We start from the raw sequence: 22740 nt of genomic DNA, 5'->3' as shown, positions 1-22740 counted from the left end.
TGAGGAGCTGGGATTACAGGCACCTGCCACCATGCCCGGTTAATTTTTGTATTTTTAGTAGAGACGAGGTTTCACCATGTTGGTCAGGCTGGTCTTGAACTCCTGACCTAAAGCAATCCACCCAACTTGGCCTCCTAAAGTGCTGGGATTACAGGCGTAAGCCACCGCGCCTGGCCTCTATCCCACTTTTAACTCTTTGCTTCTCTTCTCTGATCCCAACCAGTCTCTAACATCACTTCAAAAGGAACACACCCTTCTCCCTTAGGATACACTATAACCAGCATCGGTGAGGATGTAGAGAAATGGGCTTTCATACATGGCCACTGGGGATGTAAGATGGTGCAGCTACTCCAGACAACGTAGGGCAGTTCCCCAAATAGTCACCTTGTTGCACAGCCCAGCAATCTTACTAGGTGTTTACTCAGTGAATGAAAACATACGTCCATATAGAGACTGGTACCAAGGACATGTTCGTGGCTGCATCAACCTTAACAGCCCAAACTAGAAATGATCCAAGTGTCTGTCAAATAGTAAATGCAGAAATAAAAACATGTTATATGTATGCAATGGAAAATTATTATCATAAAAAGGAACCAAACAATGCTACCACATGAATAAACCTCAAAAACATAATGGTAAGTGGAGGAAATCAGTCAAAAAAGCCCACTCTAGTATGATTCCACGTTTATGAAATGTGAAGAATGGGCAAATCTCTAAAGACAAAAAGCAGATCGGCTTGGGTCTGGGAGTGGCTATAACTGGGAACAGGGGCTGGGCACGGTGGTTCACACCTGTAATCTCAGCACTTTGGGAGGCCAAGGCAGGAGGATCACTTGAGCCTAGGAATTTGAGACCAGCTTGGGCAGCAAAACAAGACCTTGTCTCAAAAAAAAAAAAAAAAAAAAAAAATAGCCTGGCATGGTGGCGCATGCCTGTGGTCCCAGCTACTTGAGAGGCTAAGGTAGGAAGAGCACTTGAGCCTGGGACATCAAGGTTGTGCTGAGTGTGGTTGCACCACTGTACTCCAACCTGGGCAACAGAGCAAGACCCTGTCTTAAAAAAAAAAAAAAAAAAAAAGGCAACAAGGAAATTGGGGTGATAGAAATATTCTAAAACTGGATTGTTGGTAAAAGTTGTACAGCTCTGTAAATTTACTATAAAATCATTCGGTTATAAAAATGGATGCATTTCATGGTACAAAAGTTAAAAATAAAGGGTCCAAAAGTGGCTCTCAATAGAGCAAGGAGGACCTGTATCACTATCCATGTTGATGGCGGTGTGCTTCAAGAAGAATCCCGTGGAATCTGTGTAAGAATTTGCTCATGTGATCTTACATTTTCATGATGTTTACATCTTCATATCTTCCCCAAATATTGGTTCAAAACAAACATCACTCATTTTGTGTTCCTGCTGCAAGAGACCCCCTGGGGCCTGCCCCTCTCCAAGTCTGTTTAAGAGGCTACATACATAAGTTTCTCTCCTATTGGTGCCTCTGCCACATGGACCATGCATGTCTCATTCATCTCGGAATGCCCCCCAGGCACATCAGAGACCCCCCTGAATGGGTGAATGGCTGTGTGGACAAGACCTACGTGGCCCTCAGATAATCCTTGAAATACAAATGAGGATTCTTGGTGCCTTCATGACGGTATCCGCCTTACCTGACCATACCTCCTCCGACTCCCATCACGTCCCCTGTGACGTGATCTTTATTTTGGCTTATGTTTGTCTCTGCTGCTGGAAAGTAAACGTGGAGGACAGGGCTTTGTCCAGTTCATTCTCTGTGGTATCTCCAGTACCCAGACAGAGACATAAAACATACCTCTATAAGTTATGTAATAATACATTGTTTAATGGATCTAGAGTTTATATATATATAGTAAAATACATATTGGCACAAAGCAAGTACTGTTACATGCACTAGAAATTGCTGAGCCAGGCACTTGCCCTCTCACAGGTGAATTAAATTGGGGTGGGGGGGGCCATGCAGCCTTGACGGTTGAGTGACTTATGCTCTCACGGGTGGGGGGTCAGCGTTTGCTGCTGTTCTCATCCTTATCTGTCGTTTGTGAGGAGGCGATGGAGCAGGCACTATCTGGCTCCAGCCCCTGGTCCCTGTGTCAGTGGGAGTGATGGGTGGGAACCATGGCTAGACAGGAAGGAATCTGATTGCTGTGTGAAGGGCATTCATGACTCACGCCAAGTAGGTGGCGGCTGCCCTGGTCCCTGGAGGTCCAGGCTCCCAGCTGGGGGGCTTGTTTGTGGGATCCCAGGAGGAAGTAAGTCGGAGGAGTGGTGGTGACTATGCCATTGGCGCTCTGCGACACCAGCCTGGCCTCTTTCTCCCCCGTGGACACTGTTTTCTGCACAGGGATACCTGAGAGAGGATGTGCATGACTCCGGAGCCCAGCCTTTTTGAATCTGGGCTTTTCCCAGTGACACCAGGAGCCTTCTGTGCTGTACCGTGTGGGAGGCGCTTGGCTCTCTGCAGCCAGCTACAGGGGCCTACAGCCCCCACACTGCTTATGCACCTCGACTCAGAAGTTGCGTAGAGAGACCCTCCCGTGAGGTGAGGCAGTTGCAGCAGGTAGAGAAGCCGCAGCATCCCGGGAGTGTCCAGATCCAACCATGAGGGCAGAGGTCCCTGGCAGGCCCCAAGGGCAGGGGTCTGGGATGGAAAGGAGTCCTCAGCAAAGCTGCTCATGTGCCTGTCTGTGGGCAGCAGGAGTCGGGATCTTCTGGGCTGGGGGCTTGGCCCGGTCTGGTTTTTTGCTCCCCTTAATGGTGCTGATGAGCTGGGTTTAGGAACCACTTGCCCGAGTCTCAGATTTTGGCTCCTGCTCTTCAAATGCCTGTCCTGGATGACTTGCCAGGTCCCCACCTCCCTTCTTGCACGATAGAGGCTCCATGAGGGTGGGGGTGGCGGTGGGGGGGCTCTAGAAATTGGGATGGGTGACCTGCTTTGTTCAGAGCCACAAGCCAGAAAGGCAAGGGGATACACAGTACAGCAGGGACAAAGCTGTGGTGGTGCCCACAGTCCAGAAAAGAGCCACTGACAGCACAAATTGAAGTCCTTGTGTGTGGGCAGGTGCAAGAGGACCCAAGTCGGGTGTCCCTTCCAAGCCAGCCCCGAGCCTGAATGAGCCATTTGAGTGAGCGAGGCCATCCTGGTCCATCCTCAGACACCAGGAACCCGCTGTGCCACCCTAGTCATGGAAGGCTTCCTGTGTGCCATGCCTGGCGGGGGGGTCCCCAAGAACAAGAAGACCCCTCTCCCCAGCCTTCATGGTCTAGATCAGAGAAGCTGGAAAGGAAGGATGTGGCAAATGTGCCAAGAGCCAGGGCAGGCTTTGGCCCAGATTGACTGGTGGCTCAGATGGCACGGTTACTTGGGAAGTGAGGTCACGGGACAGAGAAGCCTTCACAGAGCAGGGGACATTGAATCTGTATCTTCAGGGAGGGATTTTTCAAGGTGAAGGCATCAACATCCATCCAAGATTCATGGGACGGGGTATGGGACACATTGCTGGAGGGCTAGTCTGCAGCCTAGCCGAGTGCAGCGCAACAGGGACGGGGGCCCTGAGACACAGTCCCAGTGCTCCTGCACATCCTGGGCCAGAGAGGGAGTCACCACAGTTGGCAGAGCTGGGGAAATTGGAGCCTTGCTGCCATTAGGAATTTCTTCAGGTTTTTTCTGTCTTTTTTGAGATAGTCTCGCTCTGTCCCCCAGGCTGGAGTGCAGTGGCACGACCCTGGCTCACTGAAATCCCTGCCTCCCTGGTTCAAGCAATTCTCCTACCTTGGCTTCCCGAGTAGCTGGGACTACAGGCATGCGCCATCGCGCCTGGCTAATTTTTTTGTGTTTTTAGTAGAGACGGGGTTTCACCATGTTGGTCAGGCCGGTCTTGAACTCCTGATGTCAAATGATCCGCCCTCCTCAGCCTCACAAAGTGCTAGGATGACAGGTGCATCTCTCTTCATCTGCAAATTTTCTAGGTTGCTAAATCATGTTAGCCCTGTCTATTCTCCTTAGAGGGCAACATTCTATCAAGTCATAGACTTTTGTCTTCTCCCATTTCTCCTGCTCTATTTATGTGTCTTGCTGGGCTCACAACTCATGTTCCAGTGGGGGCATCAGAGTTCATTTTTGTTGTTGCCAATGTTTTATGTGAGCCTCGGGGATGAGATTTGGACTGTGAGCCTCTGCTTCATTTGAAGCTGGTGCTCTGGCTGGCTGGCTGGAGTTTCCCAGACTTCTCTGCCAGCCTGGGTTATGTGGGCACCTGACCAGGTACAAGCCAGCAGGTCTGACTGGGGCCCTCCTGGTGGCACCCTGGCAGCTGCTCTCAAGTCCCCACCACGCAGTGAGGTCCACCCATTTTCGGGCGGTCTCCCTGTTGGACTGCCCACTCTGCAGCAGCTGTTCCCCCCGAGAGCCCATGGATGTGCCTGGCAACAGCTTGCGAATGCAAAGATAACACCAAGTTGGGTGGATCTTATGTCCATGTGCACAACAGCACTGACCATGCCAGCCTCAGACTGGAAAGAACCCAGGCGTCCACCTGCTGGTGAATGTCTGTTAATCCATACAATGGAATATTACTCAGCCTTCAAGAGGAAGGACATTCTGACACATTCTACAACATGGGTGAGCCTTGAGGACATGCTGCTAAGTGAAATAAACCAGACCCAAAAGACAAATGCTGTATGATTCCACTTACATGAGGTAGCTAGAGTAGGCAAATCCACAGAGGCAGAAAGTGGACTAGAGGTTAACAGGAGCTGGGGGCAGGAGGAATGGGGAGTTATTCTTTTTGCACCTGCCCCCCTGGGAGTTATTGTTTAATGGGTGTAGAGTTTCAGTTTGAGAGGATGAAAAAAAAGTTCTGGAGATGATGGTGGTGATGGCTGCACAACAATGTGAATGTGCCTGATGCCACTGAACTGCACACTTAAAAACACCTGGGACATTTTACATTGTGCTTATTTTACAATTTTTTTAAAAAGGAAGGAATTACTTCTCAGCCTTCTGGCTAAGATAAAAAGGCTGCCCATGGTGCAGGGATGCACGTGGGAGTCCAAACTCTGAACTCCCCGACCCCCTCACCATGAAGGCCCCGACCACCACTGGGCACATGCACAGCGTGGTGGAGAAGCCCCAGGCTTGGCTGGCTCCCGCCCCAGCCACCCCTGGGAACTTCAGCACCTTCATCTGTGAGAGGGCAGGTGCCTGGCTCAGCAATTTCCAGTGCATGTAACAGTACTTGCTTTGTGCCAATATATATTTTACTATATATATATATATATATATATAAACTCTAGATCCATTAAACAATGTATTAAATAACTTACAGATACAGATGTATGTTTTATGTCTCTGTCTGGATACTGGAGATACCACAGAGAATGAACTGGACAAAGCCCTGTCCTCCACGTTTACTTTCCAGCAGCAGAGACAAACATAAGCCAAAATAAAGATCACGTCACGGGGGACGTGATGGGAGTTGGGGGAGGTATGGTCAGGTAAGGCCACGAAGGCATCGAGAATCCTCATTTGTATTTCAAGGATTATCTCAGGGCCATGTAGGTCTCGTCCACACAGCCATTCACCCGTGCAGGGGGGTCTGTGATGTGCCTGGGGGGCATTCCGAGACGAATGAGACATGGTCCATGTGGCAGAGGCGCCCATAGGAGAGAAACTTACGTAGCCCCTAAACAGTCTTGGAGCTAGGCGTGGTGGCTCACGCCTGTAATCCCAGCACTTTGGGAGGCTGAGGAGGGCGGATCATGAGGTCAGGAGATCGAGACCACGGTGAAACCCCATCTCTACTAAAAATACAAGAAATTAGCTGGGTGTGGTGGCGGGCGCCTGTAGTCCCGGCTACTCGGGAGGCTGAGGCAGGAGAATGGCGTGAACCCAGGAGGCGGAGCTTGCAGTGAGCCGAGATCATGCCACTGCACTCCAGCCTGGGCGACAGAGCCAGACTCTGTCTCAAAAAACAAAAAACAGCCTTGGAGAGGGGCAGGCCCCAGGGGGTCTGTTGCAGCAGGAACACAAAATGAGTGATGTTTGTTTTGAACAAATATTTGGGGAAGATTTAAAGGTGAGGAGGCTGGGTGCAGTAGCTCACGCCTATAATCCCAGCACTTTGGGAGGCCAAGGCGGGTGGACCACTGGAGGTCAGGAGTTCGAGACCAGCCTGGCCAACATGGTGAAACCCCGTCTCTACTAAAAATACAAAAAAATTAGCCAGGCGTGGTGGCACATGCCTGTAATAACAGCTATTCAGGAGGCTGCGGCAGCAGAATCGCTTGAACCCGGGAGGCAGAGGTTGCAGTAAGCTGAGATGGCACCGCTGCACTCCAGCCTGGGCAAGACAGTGAGACTCCGAAGAAGAAGGAAAGGCAAAAGGAAAGGAAAAAGGAAAAAGGAAAGGAAGAAAGAAAGAAAAGGAAGGAAGGGAAGGAAGGGAAGGAAGGAAGGGAAGGAAAAGTGAGGAAACACATTTGGGCCAGTGGGACAGTAATTCACCCAGGTCACACTGAGTGTGGTGGGGGTGTGACAAAGACTCTCCTTGACGGAACTCATCTGGTCCCTCCAGCTTTTTATTCCAGCTAGATCCCATCCTTGGGCATGTTCTCAGGAGCCCAAATTTTGCAAGAATCCTGCTAAGTCCGTTTAGCCAGAACCCCCTGCCCTTGCTATCTGATCAGATTCCTCACCCCACGCCATCCCCCGGGGGAGATCGATCACTTTGGCCTGTCTTCAGCAAGAATCCTGTCGGGTCGGTTTCACCAGAATCCCTCTTCCCCCTGATGTTACTTCATCATTTTCCATCCATCAACCCCTACCCTGCTTCTTGGCTGCAAGTCCCCACTCATCCAAGTGACTTCAGCATTGAGCCCATTTCTAGGCCTTCCATTTCTAGTCTTTTCCCTATCACAATAGTTACTAAACAAAACCTGCTTTTACCACTTTAACTGCTGTCCAGCTCGGGTTTTTCTTCGACACTTACTGCTCTCCTCTTCCCCGGGATGGGGTGGGGTGCTCAGCCAGCACCCCTAGACTGACAGAAGAGCACAGGTCACGTGCATAAATACTTCAGTAGCATTGCAGAAAAGAGTTTCAAAAGATGGCCTGACATGATAACACAGGAAGAGGCCTATCAGCTCTTTTCTCTCTTTCACTGAGACCCCCAGTTACTTAGCAATAGTACTCAGAGGTCCTGGTTCAAATCCAGCCACTCCCAGGATTCCAGTGATTGAAGATTTGGATGAATTGAGTCAATGGTTGGCAGAATCTGAACCTCCCTTTACCTGGTTTGATGAGCTGAAAAAAGGAGCCAGGCACCCAGGCTGTGAGTATCCCTGGGCTGAGCAGTGACACTGTGCCAGATGCAGGCTGGACTGTGGGGGAGGAATGCCCTAGGCTGGGTGGGGGAGACAGAAAACATGGAGAGGGAGAGAGAAGTGGGAGCGATGGGAGCACGACTGGCTTTGCAGTCTGCTCCCTCTACCTCCCTGAATACCCAGGGCCCTGATTCTGAGCAGGTTAGAGAAGCATCTCCTGAGTGTCAAATGAGCTCTCTCAAAGATCTGCTGCAAGGACCGAATGGGAAAGCACATGTGGCCAGGCACAGTGGCTCAGGCCTGTAATCCCATCACTTTGGGAGGCTGAGGCAGGAGAATCGCTTGAACCCGGGAGGTTGCAGAGAGCCAAGATCACACCACTGCACTCCGGCCTGGGCAACAAGAGCAAAACTCTGTCTCGAAAAAAAAAAAAAAAACAAAAAACAAAAAACAACTTAGCCAGGCATGGTGGGGCACGACTGTAATCCCAACAACTTGGGAGGCTAGGGCACAAAGATTGCTTCAGCCAGGAGTTTGAGGTTGCAGTGAGCTATGATCCTGCCATTGCACGCCAGCCTGGGAGACACAGCCAGATACTGCCTCAAGAAAACAAAGAACAACAACAACAACCAAAGCAAGCACGTGTAAAAAAGAACCTGAGCCGTGACCATCACCCAAACTATGACCGTCATTTGACTGATGCTAAAATACTTCGGATCTCAAAGGAGACCAGCACTAAGTACTCCATCAAGAGTGGTGTGGCCCATCTGTGTGGTACAATCTCCCACCATGAGAATCCACACAAAGGCTGGCAGAGTGAACAAGACAGTGCAGTGGGACAGCGACAGGAGAGCTGAGAGCAATTTTTAGTTAATTTATTTTGTTTTAGACAGGGGTCTATGTTGCCCAGGCTGGTCTTGAATAGCTGGGCTCAAGCAATCCTCTCGCTTCAGCGTCCTGAGTAGCTGGAATACAGGCATGTGCCAGAGGAGTCTTTTTGCTTTTAAACCTGATCTCAAAGTATAGGGAGCCCCAGGAGGCTCTGAGCCACTGAGTTCCCTTATAAGCTTCCAAGGCAGAAAAACAGGCAGTAGCTGCACCTCCGAAGATGTGGCCAGCCAGGCCAGGGTGGCAGAAGGGGGTGAGGCCAGCACTTGGTAAAGATTTGCTGATCTGAATGAGAATGTGGGATCCATCAGCAAAGATGACAGGTGACTCAGGGAAGAGCCACCCTCTCCCTTCATTCTTCCTGGCACTTGGTATTTTTTTTTTTTTTTTTTTTTTTGAGACGGACTCTCGCTCTGTCACCCAGGCTAGAGATCAGCGGTGTGATCTTGACTCATTGCAAGCTCCGCCTCCCAGGTTCATGCCATTCTCCTGCCTCGGCCTCCCGAGTAGCTGGGACTACAGGCACCCGCCACCACGCCTGGCTAATTTTTTGTATTTTTAGTAGAGACGGGGTTTCACGGTGTTAGCCAGGATGGTCTCGATCTCCTGACCTCGTGATCCGCCCACCTCGGCCTCCCAAAGTGCTGGGATTACAGGCGTGAGCACCACGCCCAGCCTGGCACTTGGTATTTAACCACAAGAGGATTTTTACTTCCTGCTTAGGGAGGGAGACTGGGCTTCCTGAGGAGCCCTGTGCTTCTAGGGGCATGTGGAAAGCCAAACCCACTCCCTCTAGAGGCCTCTTGTGAAGATGGAAGGTCCTGGGAAGAGAGAGCTGTACCCACAACCCACTGATATAATGCACTATAAGGAAAGCACGATCAGGGCTTCCTCTCAGCTACCCCCGCGCAATTGTGAGGGTGGGAACAGGATAAACAGGGCCTGGGGCGCCAGCTATGATCCTCCAGGAAACCCTGGTGGCGTGCTCCCAGGGGCTAGACAAGCTTCTGAAGGACAGAGGGCCCAGGCAGTCTCCTTAAGAACCAGGGCCCCCTTGCTGGTCCTGTATGGACACATTCTCGGTCTCACCTGGGGGCTTCCAGATTAGCCTGGGAGGAGACCTGTCTGTGTGCACCCTGTTCAGAGATACAGCTCTATACCCTAGAAATTGGGTCTAGACCACAGATAGGGGATGCCAAGCAGGCAGCCTCTGGGACCCCTGTGCTTGCAGGCAGCCTCTGGGACCCCTGTGCTTTTCTAAGAAGACTGGCACAGGATGGGCCAATTTCAGCCTAGGACACCATCTAACTGTTCCACCTTGGGTTCTCCTAAGGCCGGGCAGGAACTGAGGCCCCAGCTGCAAAACCAAGTTGAATGGAAATTCCTTTGGGAATGAGCCGACGCAACAGACACGCAGACAGAGGGTGGTACGTCAAGACCCATCAAGATACATGCAGGCACCGGCTCAGGTCTCCCACGATGGATGTTTCAGAGCCACAGCTGCCCACCCCACCCCACCCTGGGTGCAAGGCCATGACCATCTCAGTGTCCCCAGGGGCTGCATGAAAAAGGACGCCATGCATCGGGCAGGGGAGGGTAGGGATGGCTGCCTCACCTGGACCTGGCCCTTCCCCATGAGTCTGTCCGTGCTCTCGCCGTCCTCCTTGGGGATCTTCGTCTTGTTGTAACACTTTTCATAGCACAGTATCCTCAGGGTCTGGGAGCCCTCCAGCTCTATCTCAAATTCCTGCAGCCCCAAGGGAGAAGGGAAGTCCAGTGTGAACAAACGGGTCAATGTTATGGCTGAAGGGTCCTCTGAACCGGGGCTCTCCCTGCTGCCCTTGCTGGCCCAGAGGGACCAATGCCTGAGACCCTCCTCCCTTAGTCCTGGGACACATGGAAGTATTCCTTGTAAGCACCCCTGGCATGAGACCGTGGCCCAGCCCGGATGCTTCCAGAAGCTCCGACTGCCTTTCAAACTTAATCCAAACTCCTTACACCAGCATCTCAAAGGGTGATCCCCACACCACCTGCCTCACAATCGCCAGGGTACTTGTTAAGATATTTCTATGGGCTGGGCACGGTGGCTCACACCTGTAATCCCAGTACTTTGGGAGGCCAAGGTGGGCAGATCACTTGAGACCAGGAGTACGAGACTAACTAGCCAACATGGCGAAACCCCATCCTACTAAAAATACGAAAAATAGTATGGCGTGGTGGTGCATGCCTGTGATCCCAGCTACTTGTAAGGCTGAGGCACGAGAATTGCTTGAATCCGGGAGGCGGAGGCTGCAGTAAGCCAAGATCATGCCACTGCATTCCAGGCTGGCCAACAGTGTGAGACTCTCCCTCAAAAAAAGATATTTCTATGGACTCTGAAAGATAATGATCTGTCGATGCAGGTTCACTTTTATGGCGGTGAGACTATTCTGTAAGATATTATTATGGTGGATACACGTCATTCCACGTTTGTCAGAACACATAACATGTGTAACACCAAGAATGAACCCTACCTAACATCAACTATGAACTCTGGGTGGTAATGATGGGTTAATGCAGGCTCATCAACTGTAACTCATGTCCCACCCTGGAGTGGGATGTCCATAATTGAGATGGGGGGCAGGAGGTACATGGGAACTCTGTTCTTTCTGCTCCATTTTGCTGCAAACCTAAAACCGCTCTTTAAAAAATGAATTATATCTAAAAGGAAACAAAAGAGTGATCCTTGGGGTTGATACAGGAGGGAGAGGGACTTGGAGGAAAAACTGCTCCCCGAGCTCTCCAGTTGTCTGCCGTGGGTGCGTGGTGTTAACTCTCTCCTCCATCACCCTGACGGTGCTGTTGGTGAATCTGCGCTTCACACCGAGGCGTGTGCGCGCATGGCTTCTTGGCGGGGAAATGGAGGAGGGTGCGGGAAGAAGCAAGCAGCAGGAATTTCTGAACCTGAATAGGGGAGGGGGTGGGTGTGTGTGTGCGCCAGGAACATGTGAGTGTCCCCAAGTCCAGATCTTCATGGACAGTGAGGGTGGTGGACGTGACCTGCTACAATCTAACCCTCATGTCTTCATGCCTCCCCGGAGCTTCCGTGGCTGCCTGGCACCTGAACCTTTTGCACACTGCCTGGCACCCTCTCTTGTTGTCTCTGCTGGGTCGTGGCACTCTTGGTCTCTGCAAAGGCTTCTTCGATGGATCCCCTGTGGCTCTTATACCCCCTCTCATCACAGCTGCCACTCAGCCCTTTCTGCAGGGATGTCCAGAGCTACAATGACCAGGTTATTTTACTGAGCTCCTTGTGCCCTTGTACTATTCAAGCAACATGTCTAAAATGATCAAAGAGTAGTGGATGCTGAGAAAGGAGACCTGGGTTCCAGCCCCACTGCTCCATCCACCAGCCTCGTGACCCGTGTAGACCAAGCAGCCTGGGGGCTCTTGGCTTCCTCCTTCGCAGGAGCAGGGGTGGGAGGCAGCTCTCTGCAGGCCCAGCTGGCCTCTACCTGCAGCATCAAGAATGAGACCTTCGAGGTCACAGCTGCTGCAGAAGCTGGGAAATGGCACCTCTCATGGATCTGGGACTTAGTCAATACGGGCCTCTCTGCAATCATTCCCCTACTCCCGAAGGTGCAGGGCCAAATGGCTAAGTGACTCACACAGCAGCTCTCCAAGGTGGAGGAAGGCACGGCGACACACAATACAAACCCAACACCCCGAGACAAGCAAGCAGGACCCTACAGTCCCTGTCCCAGCCCCACCAGCAGAGCCCCAGGCTTCCGGAAGCCAAGAGGGTCACGGGAGCTCATTCCAACTTCTGCGGAAAAACACTATGGAAACCTACCAAGTAAACATAAGCGCTAACAAAGGCAGACAAAAAGCCTTTTTAAGTCTCTTTCCAAACACTTCTCCAGCAAAATAGGTGGCTTCTTTGTGATGACAGGGATGGGTAAGGTTTTCAGGAACAAGGAGATAAAATCTCTTGGACACGTCACCTACTGGCCCCCCAGGAGATTCCTGGAATTCAGCAGCACTGCCTTCGGGGGAAGCCCTCAGGGAGCCCCTGAAGGTTTAGATTATCTCCAGTGGAAAATATCCTGTGCCCCACCTGGCAGGCTGGGCCCTTGTGGAATCAGTTCCTCACCTCGTTCCAGTTTGGCTCAGCTGTGTCCCTGTAGACGCGCGTCTTTGCTTTATTCACAAAATACCCAAAGGAATCCACCTCCAGGGTGCAGTACAGATCTGTGGGGAGAAGTGGACATGGAGAAGGTCACAGGTCTTTTCCACATCACCCACATGGTCTGTAAGAGCAGGTGTTATTTGCAGAATCAGAAAAAATAAAAATAAAAAAAAAAGGTTGTAACTTTCTTTTTAAAAATTAAACACCTAATTGTGGTCTGGCGTGAACACCAGCACCTCATGCGATGCCCCTGCCCGCTCTGTGGAATTTCCCTGGGTGCGGCTGGGAAACGGGACTTCCCACAACATTCGTTCACTCAGTCGATCCACAAACCCCAGCTAAAGCCCCTACGATGAGAAGGGCCCTGCACTGGTGGGGACAGAGAGGTGTACACGCCATTGTTACACAGTGATGCCACAGCAGAGGGCAGCCATCCTGGGGGATGTGGGAAGCCCCTACAATCAGAGCAGACCCCGCTGTACTATGGGGCAAAGAGTTAAGGCAAAGGGGACTCCAGGCCACTGTGGGGCACAGGAAGCAGCTCAGTGCTGGAGAAGTCGTGGGGTGCAGGGGGAAGGGAGGGAGGCGAGGCCTGGAGAAGAGTGGGCTGGGCTGTGGGCGGTAAGTTGCAGGGTGGGGTTTGCATTTTAGAAAAACTACCTGAGACTGGGGATGGAGAGGCCTGGTAGTGGGGACCCTTTCTGCAGGGATATCCAGAGCTACAAAGACCAGGGAGGAGGCCACAGCCAGGGCCTGGCCAGGCAGCCAGAGATGACTAAGAAGCCTCACTGATGGAGAATGGCATTTAACGGAGGGAGAGCAGACCACGGTTTCTGGCTTGGCCATGCGGGTGGATGGTGGTGCCCCTCAAAGGGACAGGACATAAGAGGAACAAGTTTGGGGTCCATGAATAATAGGTTTGGTTTGGGGATGCAAGGTTGAGTGCACGGGGCAAGGAAGAGATAGAAAGAAAGGTAACAGGGAGGCAAGGAGAGACAAGCCCGGGACCACGGGGCAGCGTAGGGTGTCACGCTGTATTGCTCACAGACAGGACCCGGGAGGAGATGCAGGGATGCAGGGAGGCCCACGAGGGAAACACCAGCGTTTATGAGGCAGCCAGAGACAGGGGCCCAGGAGAAAGATTATGTTATGAAGGTGCAATCTGCATGTCATGTAATTCATCCATTCCAAGTGTAGGGTTTAAAGAATTTTAGGAAATGTAAATGTGAGCGCAAACAGCACCACAGTCTTTTCACGACACTGCTCTCACCTAAAAAGTCCCCCTTGGGTTCATCTGCAGTTAGTCCTCTCTCCCAACCCCATTCCCCAACAATCCCTGGTAAGCTTTCTGTCTCCACATTTTGCTGTTTCTAGGAACTTTTTTTTTTTTTTTTTGAGGCGGAGTCTTGCTCTGTCGCCCAGGCTGGAATGCAGTGGCACAAGCTCGGCTCACTGCAACCTCCGCCTCCTGGGTTCAAGCGATTCTCTTCCCTCAGCCTCCCAAGCAGTTGTGATTACAGGTGCCCACTGCCTAGCCCGGCTAATCTTTGTATTTTTAGTAGACACAGGGTTTCACCATGTTGGTCAGGCTGGTCTCCAACTCCTGAGCTCAAGCGATCCACCTGCCTCAGCCTCCCAAAGTGCTGGGATTACAGGCATGAGCCACTGCGCCCGGCCTCGAGAAACTTACACAGTGCAACTCATGTGTTACCAGCCTTCACTGTTCTGACAGCTCCAGTAGCTGGGGGAGACCCCCACTTAGAGGGAAAGGAAAAAAAAAGTAGTATCCATCCAGCTCGACAGAGCAGCCAAATCTGCTCTGCTGTGGGGTGAAGGTGCACTGCTGACAGCCCTCCTGGCTTGGACCCCACACTCCCGGGCACCCCTGGGGATGTCTGTCAAAGTCCTTGCCAAACCCCTGCAATTACTCGATCCACCTGCAGGGGGCAGCTCACCAGCTCCCAGGATCTGAGACAGGCTAGGGGAGAGGGCAGAGGCCACTCCGGGAAAAACAATTCCACACCCAGAAGGCATCAACCAGCACAAACACTCCACAGCGGCCAGGGTCAAAGGTGTCCCGTGGTCATCTGAACAACCTCCCTGTTTCCCCACACCCTGCCCGATGAGTCCTTCCTGGGTGGAGACCCTGGCTCGGCCGCTGCAACCCTCCTCCCCAAACCAGTACTTACTTGAACTCTGCTTAAATCCAGTGGCTGAGTGGACGATGACATTCAGAAACCCATAGAGCCCCGGAGACTCATCATCTGCGCAAGAGATCAAAGAGGTCAGCTTCTGTTGTCCCGGGAAAGGGAGGCAGGTGACAAGCTAACTCTGCTTCAAAATCAACCATCCGGTGGACACTGTGTGGCTGCCATCTGCCTGGCACAAGGTAAGCCAGTGTCATGGGCCAAAAACATACTCATCATGATTTCTGTCTTGGGGATCTCAGGATCCAGCTGGTTTCACAATACAGGCAAACCAGTGACTCGAAGTGTAATAAGGTTCCAAGGACAGCAGAGGGGGTCGGGGTGATGTGGGATGTGGGTGGGGTGTGTGTGGACACATGTGCATAGCGTATGCTGTGTGTGTGACTGAGCATATGTGCAACAGTGAATGCAAAACAGCTTGACCAAAAGTGCCGGCTGGCAGGTAGCTGGAGGAGAGGAGGGCTGGGAGGACGGGAGTGGGGCCAGATCCAAGGCACAGAGCATCTGAGGAGCGTCTGCTGCAGCCTTGTGACTAGGAACAGAAGCCGTGCATCTCCTCAACCACCCAGCAGCAGCCACTCAGGGAGAAACTGCTCCTAACCCACCTTGTCCACTCCTGGGAGGAGACAAGAGGCCCTAACAAGCATAGCTCTTCCTTCTGAACCAAAGTCCACTAGTCCCATCAAAAGTGCTAACAGGAAGGGGGGATCAGCCTTCAGGCTAGCTGCCTGCCCTCCCTGCAGGTGCCCTGTACACGGAAACGGGGGGGCCCACCTTCCTTATTGATGGTCAGCGGAATGCTGTGGACAGTCTGGAGTTTCACACACGAGTTGGTCAGCATCTGCAGCTCCACGGATGTCAGGGAGAAGCTTCTGAAACCTGGGAGGTTGGAAAAGAGGTGCACCAATTGGTCAATCTGCTCCTTGGCCCTCTGGCCCCTCCCACTGGACCTCCACCACACACCCTGGGGAAGGGGCACGGCAAGAACTGGTGCCAGGGCTTGGGGGCTCAGGAGAGGGCACTTGGCTCTCAAGTGCAGTGCTGGTCTGGCGGCAGAGTGAGGTGTGGCCCTGGAGAGCCCAGGCCTGGAGGAGTCTTAGCATGAGACTTACAAACACACACATCCCACGCTACCTAAGCACAGCCACAAGGCAGGTCTGAGAATGAGTGGCTGGACTGGGAGCACCTCCCTGTGAGGTCTCCCCATACAGACAGCAGCATGGCTCTGCCCGTCCTCTGCTAACACAGGCCCCCGTTTCTCCACCAGGTGAGGAAAAGGGGCTTATTTCTGGGCATAATGCTGAACAGGGAACAGAGGCTGCCACTCTGGAAATGGCTGGGGCTCCTATGTTATGACAGGAAACCCTGGGACACAAGCACTGGCAGGGCTGCCCGGAGATCCTTGATCCCCCAGGCCACGGTGGCATTGGGGGCCGAGAGGTGGCTCTGCATAGGTGAGAATGATGAGCCTGAGGGCGCGGGAGGTCAGGCCAGGCCAGAGGCATGCAGAGCCCCAGCTCAGGGTGAATCCCAAACCTCCAAGGAGGGAACCGGGTCTGCCTTCCCCACCGACACTGCCAGGCAGGACCCGAAGGAAGGAGCGCCCTGACAGAGGGAAGTGCCCAGAGAAGGAAGGGGCTGCCCCAGACAGGAGGGAGCGCCCCTGAGCTGAGAGCGGGCAACCCCGGCCATATGAACAGGGCAGTGGGGCCAGCACAGTGTGAATGCCCAAGTGGGCCCAGCCAAAGGCCCCTTTAGCATCAGCACCTGCTGGGGCAGGGAAGGCCCAGGGGGCGGGGAGTAGATGAGGAGAAATGGGGGAGGCCAAGAAAATGGGGTGGTGGCAGGGTCCCAGAAAGGACTAGGGGGCAGGCCGGGGGTGCGGTGTATGGGCAGCAGACTAGGGGGAGATGGCAGGGGTGTGTGTAGGGGCAGGTGTGGAATCTGGAAAGGGCCTGGGGAAGGGGGATTCACAGGGGATCACAGGGCAGTGGGGAAATGAGTGCCCAGGTGATGGGGGCAGGATAGGCTGGCAGGGGAACAAGAGGGCTGGGGGCCTATCGGGATGGCTGTCGCCAACTTCTTTTCTAAATTAGCCCTCCATGCAACACTTCACTTGGATAAAACCCCTCGAAATAAAAAAGAAGGTTTAAAACCACAGGAGCTGCCAGCCTGGCCCTAATGGTTTGAAGCCCAGCCCCTCTCAGGACAGAGGATACTCACACTTCTTCTGCTGCTCCCGGATGTTCTCCCTCCACTCTGCACGCTCATAGTCAGAGGAGATCAGGAACGTGTAACTCTAGGGTGGGCAAGAAGAACACACCCAGTTATCTCCGCCCTGGCTACGCAAATGCCTGGTAGGCCCGGGGCACCTTAGAGCACACAACTCGTATCTCCAGCCGGCTGGAGCCCAGTGGCCAGGTGTGCTCACGGCCTGGCATGTCGCTTCCGGCACTCCCTACCCTTCCTGCCAGCTGGGTGCCACAGCACCTCTGGCACACCATCTCTCACCCGAACTACATGGGTCAGGGTGTGATGCTGGCAGAGGGGCACAGCTTAGGGACATGGAGGTAACCAGGTGGGATCTGCAGAGGTGAACGTTGATCCAGACCTGACCTCCTGCATTCAATTCACAAGCCCCACACTAGCCCAGAGGTGAGGCTTCTGCAGAGCCCACCAGCTGCCTCTCCTGGTCAGGCTAGAAAACAAGCCATTCTGGACATTGACAGACATGTATTGACAGGAGGGAGAGGCCCAGGTTACAGATGGCAGCAGGAGCCAGACTCAGGACAGAAGGTGTGTCTCTGGCCCTCAAGGCCCCAGGACAGCATCCCTGTACCAAGGGCCAGATCTGCACAAACCTGCTAGGCTCCCCTGCCCTATACCCTCCCTGGAGACCCTGTCCACTCCCAGCTGTGGGAGCTGAGCCAGCTGCCACTCAACCTGGGGGCTACAGCCCAAAGCCCCAGACAAAGGAATGTGCGTGCTTGCATGCACCATGCCGGACATGCCTCTCTCAGAGTGGGGCGCATCCAAGTGAAAACGCACTGCCATTAGGCAACCAGGAGCCCATCCCAGGCCAGGAGAGCAGGAGGGGCCGGAACAGCAGGCGCTCACCTTGCCGTTGCGGCTGTGCACCCTGAAGGCCATGCTGGGAGACATAAGCAGCAGCAGTGACTCCTGCTCCGACAGCTTCTTCTTCAGCCTCTCCGTAGCCTTGCTGCCCTTGTTCGCCCTCTGTGGGGAGATGCCACAGCCTCACCTTCCCATTCCAGCGCTCCACACAACCCACTCCCATTCCATCCATCCCCACCACCAGCTGCATTCAGCCTGCAGAGGGCAAGAATCCCATCTCTCCACTCAGCACAGACCAGGGCCCCAGACCGCAGTTGCTGGTGGCCTCTGGAGGACAGAAACAGCTTTTTTACAGGGTCAAGGCATGGCATAAGCTGCAGGACATGCTCAGTAAACCTTTTTTGGAGGAATTAAGTCTTTCCTCTCACAAGGGCGGAGAGAAGAAACTTTTACCAACATCCCTGCCTTTCATTTTCCCAAATTCAGACAATGTCTAGGAGGCTGCTGTGACCTACAGGGTCCCTCACCCTCTTCCTAATCCAACTAGGTTTCAGCATCGGGCCCCTGGGCATGTTTGTGGAGATGCCAGCAGAAGACCAGACGACCGTCAACAGAACCTGGATGGGAAGGCCCTTCCTATGCTGAGCCATGGGTTTCACTCTAGAAGCCACTATCCCTGGGGAGGAGAAAACTGTGCTGCCTGTCACCAGGTAGGGCCCCACCCCATCCCATCCCCCAAAGAGCTGAACATGGAGAATGCAACAGTAACAGTCAATAGGGCTCAGCTGCCCTGAGCACTGGCTCCCACTCTGTGTGGGGACACCCTACCCTGGAGGTCACAGTCCCACAAGGATGACAATAGAATGTTCACCCCAGTCTTGAAGCTCCCTGTGTTCCTAAGTGTGCTGGGTTTGGGTACAGCAGGCTGGGCAGCTGGGCAAGGGCTGAGGACCTCCTGTCCTGCTGCGTCCACCCTACCTGGGCATACCTGGACCCAGGCCTAACCTTGATGCCACCCGCCTCCTCTGGCCTGGCTAACCTTTGATTGAGGGGCTTGTCCTCACCATTTTTACAGTCTTCAAACATCTCTGGAAAAAACCAAGGGCAGGTAGTCCTGAACACCTAGAGGGGTGGCACTGCCACCTGGGCCTGGGCCCCATCAGGGTAGCTTGTATGGGGGACAGCCAGCACCTCCCCCAACCCTGCATCCTGGACTACTCCAAGCCCTCCACTGTCTGGCTGTGACTTTCTCTCTGGTGACTCAGTACTTCACCCATGTAATGGAACCACACGGCAAAGGACGCAGCCTGGGTATCAGGAGACCACACACTTGAACAGCTCAAGCCTGTGGCCAGAGGTGAGAACCCGGAAGCCTCTCTCCCGCCCGGCTGACTGAGCTCCCGCATTCCTGCTGCTTCCTTAAAAGGACCATCCAGGCATTTGCCTGTGAACTTAAAGTGATCACACCCTGTTCCCTTATAAATACTGCTAGCTGTCATGCGCTAACTCTTCATTTCTGCCTTGCATGACCCAGGGACAGAAGACTGCCCTCCCTACTCATGGCACCTCCTTGTCCAAAACCTGTAGGTAAAATCTCTGAACTTGTTTCCTATTGTGGTGCTGTGTTTCCGAAAAACTAGGAGGTGTTTGCCTAGGTTAAGTTTTCCCCGGGGATGCCAGTGAAAACACAAAATCAGGCTCCCAGTGCCACAGCAATGGTCAGGTGGGCATAAACTGGACACAGTTTAAACAAGTTTCTCTCGTGAGGGACCCCTGGTCACAGGTCAGACAACTAAGCATGAGGCAGTCCACCAGGTCTAAGAAGTATCCCGTGAAAGGCGCACTGTAGAGACCACGACCAGTTCCCTTCATTTTTCTGGAGGGTTGGGTTGGCAGCCGCTCTGGTATGGTGCTCCCCATTTAGCTGGGGGTTCTCAGAACAACTGGACACCTAGTTGTGCCCAGATGCCCAGCCCTCCAAGAGCTGAGAGCTTACAGGGGTCCCAGAGACCAGACCTGGGGCCCAGAGGCCTGACGGAGAAAGCACCCACTGGCCGTGTGCGGGGGCTGCTGCCACTCTGACCACACCAAACCCGGCCCTTGCTCCCCTGGTGTGCACCTTCTCTCTCTGGATGTCATTCTTGATCTGGGAGATCTTGATCTTCAAAGCGTCCAGCTCCTCATCGGGCACCAGGGGGATGTTGGGCACTGCCTCCAGTTCATCCACCATCTGGAAGCTGAGATCCGTGAGCGGAATGTACCATTTGCAGTCATACTGCTGCGTTTTGCTGGGGATGGGGAGAGAAGAACGTTCACATGCACCGACTGCCTTCTATGGCTGATGTCACTGCTGTCAAGAGCCCAAGAGCCAGTGTTCTCGGCCATACATGGTTTACCTGACCTAAAACCCAGCACGTGTTCCATGGGACAGACTGGGATGAGGCCACTGGCAGGTGCCAGGATTCCTGGGAACAGACACTCTGAACATGTGACCGCAGGCCCCAGGCATCTCAGGAGTCTAGATCCACCTTGTCCTGAGCTGGCTCTAAGGTTGAAGGCTCATGTGGGAGCACATCAAGGCTGCACAATGACAGGACAGGACTGAAATCCACCCCCAGGGCCGTAAAGTTTGAGGGACTACAGATCTAGCTGGCGTCATCCCCTCGCCTGACAGATGGGGGAACTAAGGCTCTCCTCTGAGTTGACTGATTAAACCCACTCAGCAGGGCAACGGCAGGATGCAGGAAAGAGCCCCGTGCTGGTCCTTCCCAGTGTGGCCCTCTTTGCTCCATTCCAACCTGGTGCAACCTGGGTGAACCCAGGGAGGAGGGAGGAGGGGAGTGTGTGCACGCCTATGCCGAGGATAACTCGGAAAGCCACCACCAGGCTCGGGGAGACAAGGAGCAGCCACCACCCAGCACTGCCTGCAGCCCCTGATCTCACGCTTCCCGGATGGGTCCTGAGGTGACCTTTCTGCAATAGTGCCGGAAGCCACGGTCGGGTTTACCCCTCACTACAGGAGTCAAAGCTGGTCACCCTGATGCCCCATGACGTCTCCAGATTGCTAGTGACAATCTTTAACCTGGAGCCTGGCATTGTGCCCAAGTAGAAACGGAATGTAACGAGCTACATCACCACTGACCTCCGCCATGACAAGACCCTCCATGACCTGGAGAGTCAGGGTGGGGTCACTGCTGGGACAGGGGCCACATCGTCACTCACCCTCCGCTCTGCTTCTTGAGCTTGGTGCAGAGAAGCAGGTCGGTGAACAGGAAGACGTGGCGCAGCTTGCGGGCCCCCTCCACCAGCTCCACCATGAAGCTGTCCTTCAGCAGCTGCCGGTGCTGCAGGCACAGGGAAGGCTGGGGTCAGGGCCAGCCTGGGGTGATGGGTGGGGGGTGTTCGGCCCTCCCAGCCCAGCAGGAGCAGGTTGACCCAGAGACATTCTCTCCCTGGGAAGATTTCACTCCCTCCACATCTGACCCTCACACCCACTTTCCAGAACGTTTTGTTCATCTCACTGTCCTGCTAACACATCAGGGCTTATGTGTAACTTCTTTGTTCAACAAATTTCCCAATCCCTCCTGTGTGTTCAGCCTTTGGAAGAGGGTGGGAGGATGGGGGAGAGGGGGAGGTAATGGGTGTGGGTCTGAAGGGGCACACAGCCAAGCAAACAGTCTGCTGTGAAGATGGGTGATGGGGGGACCCTCTTTAAACAGGGAAGCCAGTGCCTCTCTGGGGTGGCAGCTGGAGATCCAGAATTGGCAAGAAGCCAGCCATGCCAGGAGCAGGTATTTCTGTAGAGGGACCATCTCAGGCACAGGCCCCTGTGGTGGGGAGAGATTGGTGCCCGAGGTACAGATGTGGCAGTATGGTCTATGGGTGGAGACAGGCCCAGTGCACTCTGAAAAGTGGCAGCCCTCGAGGTCACAGCAAGGGTTGGGCCTGGTTCTGAAGGCAGCAGGAACTGAGGGTCCCACATGTGGAACTCCTAGTCCTCCCAACTAGACAGGATGGATAGGGTCCCCGGTGTGCACGGGCTGCACCTCTGACACCTGCCTGGACACCTGCGGCCTGAGAAGGGTGCCTTTCTGCATCTTGGTCTGCATCTGAAAGGCAAGGGTCGGTCCTTCTTGCTCAAGGGGCTGCTGAATGGGCATGTCTAGGTAAGTCACCCCTGCCTGGTACCTCACAGGGTTGGGCGCTGTGCCGAGGGTACAGGGACAGGAGGAGAGGCTGTCGCAGCAAGCCTTCCCCACGCTGGGACCAGCGCACTGCACGAGCACATCGCCTGAATTATTTGACCCAATCCCCACAACAGGCTGTAGGCAGGTCCTTAATGAGAAAACAGAGCTTCAGGGAGGTCCACCCTCTGTCCCAGGCAGCGCAGAAAGAGAGGGGTAACATTCACAGGCCTCTACCCTCAGGAGTCCACAACCTCGTGGCAGAGAGGCCAAGTGTTTAGTGGGCACCCAGCCCACCTGGTCTCAGGGAAGGCTCACAGGGAGGACGACGCCCGCCCTGCACTGAGAGTCAGAAGGGTTGGCAGGGGAGGCACATACAACAGAGAGTGTGAAAACCCAGTGTCTCCCCGCAGGCGGTGCACCTGTCCTCATCTCGAGAAGTGATGAGGCCTTGTGCTCTCAGGGAGCCAGGCTGGTCCTGGGGCCAGACCAGGCACCTTGCCCTGCTGTCACCTGCAGCCTGAGGTTCTTCTCGGGGAGCCTCGGTCTCTCTGAACTTTTCCCCCATTCTGGGGCCGGAGGCAACAGAGCTCCCCATTTGCAAGAACAGCCTGGGCCAGTCCTCCGACACTCTCAGAGGTGGAGGCTTCATGTCACCATCATAAGCAGCTTGGCTCACGACAGGCAGCCGGCTCTTGCGAAGGGGAACCAATGAATTACGCAGGGGCTGCTGGTGCCCATAAGTGGAAGGGTAGGAAGGCTGCCGGCGTGCCAAGGCCATGACTCATCGGCACTCACCCACACCCCGCCTGCCGAGGGCAGACGGCTGCCTGGTGACGGCACCCACGGGAAGCAAGAAACAGCATGT

At 53.9% G+C, this 22740-nt stretch overlaps 1 protein-coding gene and 1 long non-coding RNA gene across 3 annotated transcripts in view, besides 8 other annotated features; one reads left to right on the top strand and one right to left on the bottom strand.

Annotated features, from left to right (window-relative positions):
- BCR (BCR activator of RhoGEF and GTPase) overlaps positions 1-22740 on the bottom strand; it is a 137529-nt gene that overhangs the window by 13029 nt on the left and 101760 nt on the right. The window contains exons 9-16 of one of the 2 annotated variants that reach the window (NM_004327.4): positions 20911-21032; positions 19808-19976; positions 17731-17850; positions 16837-16912; positions 15388-15492; positions 14596-14670; positions 12371-12468; positions 9854-9985 (exon numbers count right to left, since the gene is read on the bottom strand). In NM_004327.4, the coding sequence (NP_004318.3) occupies positions 9854-9985; positions 12371-12468; positions 14596-14670; positions 15388-15492; positions 16837-16912; positions 17731-17850; positions 19808-19976; positions 20911-21032 (897 nt within the window). The remainder of the gene's footprint in view (positions 1-9853; positions 9986-12370; positions 12469-14595; positions 14671-15387; positions 15493-16836; positions 16913-17730; positions 17851-19807; positions 19977-20910; positions 21033-22740) is intronic. The other variant, NM_021574.3, reaches the window with a different exon arrangement.
- Position 12383: a mitotic recombination region, noted in NCBI's record as "BCR e15a2 breakpoint recombination sub-region recombines with the ABL e15a2 breakpoint recombination sub-region within the ABL breakpoint recombination region, producing the e15a2 transcript". NCBI's record gives the evidence for it as "EXISTENCE:nucleotide sequencing assay evidence [ECO:0000219][PMID:11392325]".
- Positions 12383-15360: a biological region, named in NCBI's record as "BCR-ABL major-breakpoint cluster region". NCBI's record gives its function as "recombination_partner: LOC107980440".
- Positions 12474-15360: a mitotic recombination region, noted in NCBI's record as "BCR-ABL major-breakpoint cluster CML sub-region recombines with the ABL major-breakpoint recombination CML sub-region within the ABL breakpoint recombination region, producing e13a2 and e14a2 transcripts". NCBI's record gives the evidence for it as "EXISTENCE:nucleotide sequencing assay evidence [ECO:0000219][PMID:20703256]".
- Positions 12597-12776: an enhancer, noted in NCBI's record as "active region_18755". NCBI's record gives its function as "activates an Ori minimal core promoter by ATAC-STARR-seq in GM12878 lymphoblastoid cells {active_cell/tissue: GM12878}" and the evidence as "EXISTENCE:reporter gene assay evidence [ECO:0000049][PMID:35858748]".
- Positions 12735-15256: a mitotic recombination region, noted in NCBI's record as "BCR-ABL major-breakpoint cluster ALL sub-region recombines with the ABL major-breakpoint recombination ALL sub-region within the ABL breakpoint recombination region, producing e13a2 and e14a2 transcripts". NCBI's record gives the evidence for it as "EXISTENCE:nucleotide sequencing assay evidence [ECO:0000219][PMID:20703256]".
- Positions 13150-14951: a meiotic recombination region, noted in NCBI's record as "meiotic double-strand break mapped by DNA meiotic recombinase 1 chromatin immunoprecipitation followed by single-stranded DNA enrichment and sequencing in the germ cells of some male individuals with the PRDM9 A/A, PRDM9 A/B and PRDM9 A/C genotypes". NCBI's record gives the evidence for it as "EXISTENCE:chromatin immunoprecipitation-seq evidence [ECO:0000229][PMID:25395542]".
- LOC107985554 (uncharacterized) lies at positions 14481-19814 on the top strand. The gene is made up of 3 exons (XR_001755448.2): positions 14481-14795; positions 18236-18398; positions 18954-19814. It is a non-coding gene; the product is annotated as an uncharacterized LOC107985554 (long non-coding RNA).
- Positions 14531-14897: a meiotic recombination region, noted in NCBI's record as "this region was identified as a recombination hotspot within the HapMap YRI population". NCBI's record gives the evidence for it as "EXISTENCE:nucleotide sequencing assay evidence [ECO:0000219][PMID:20981099]".
- Positions 21033-22740: part of a mitotic recombination region, noted in NCBI's record as "BCR-ABL p200 breakpoint cluster region, recombines with the ABL breakpoint recombination region, producing the e8a2 transcript", that runs on past the window's edge. NCBI's record gives the evidence for it as "EXISTENCE:nucleotide sequencing assay evidence [ECO:0000219][PMID:10233416, PMID:10516770]".

The sequence above is a fragment of the Homo sapiens genome, chromosome 22, assembly GCF_000001405.40.
Source record: "Homo sapiens chromosome 22, GRCh38.p14 Primary Assembly".
Classification (NCBI taxonomy): Eukaryota; Metazoa; Chordata; class Mammalia; order Primates; family Hominidae; genus Homo; species Homo sapiens.
Note: the sequence above shows the minus strand (reverse complement) of the source record. Positions and strands in the feature narration are given on the sequence as shown.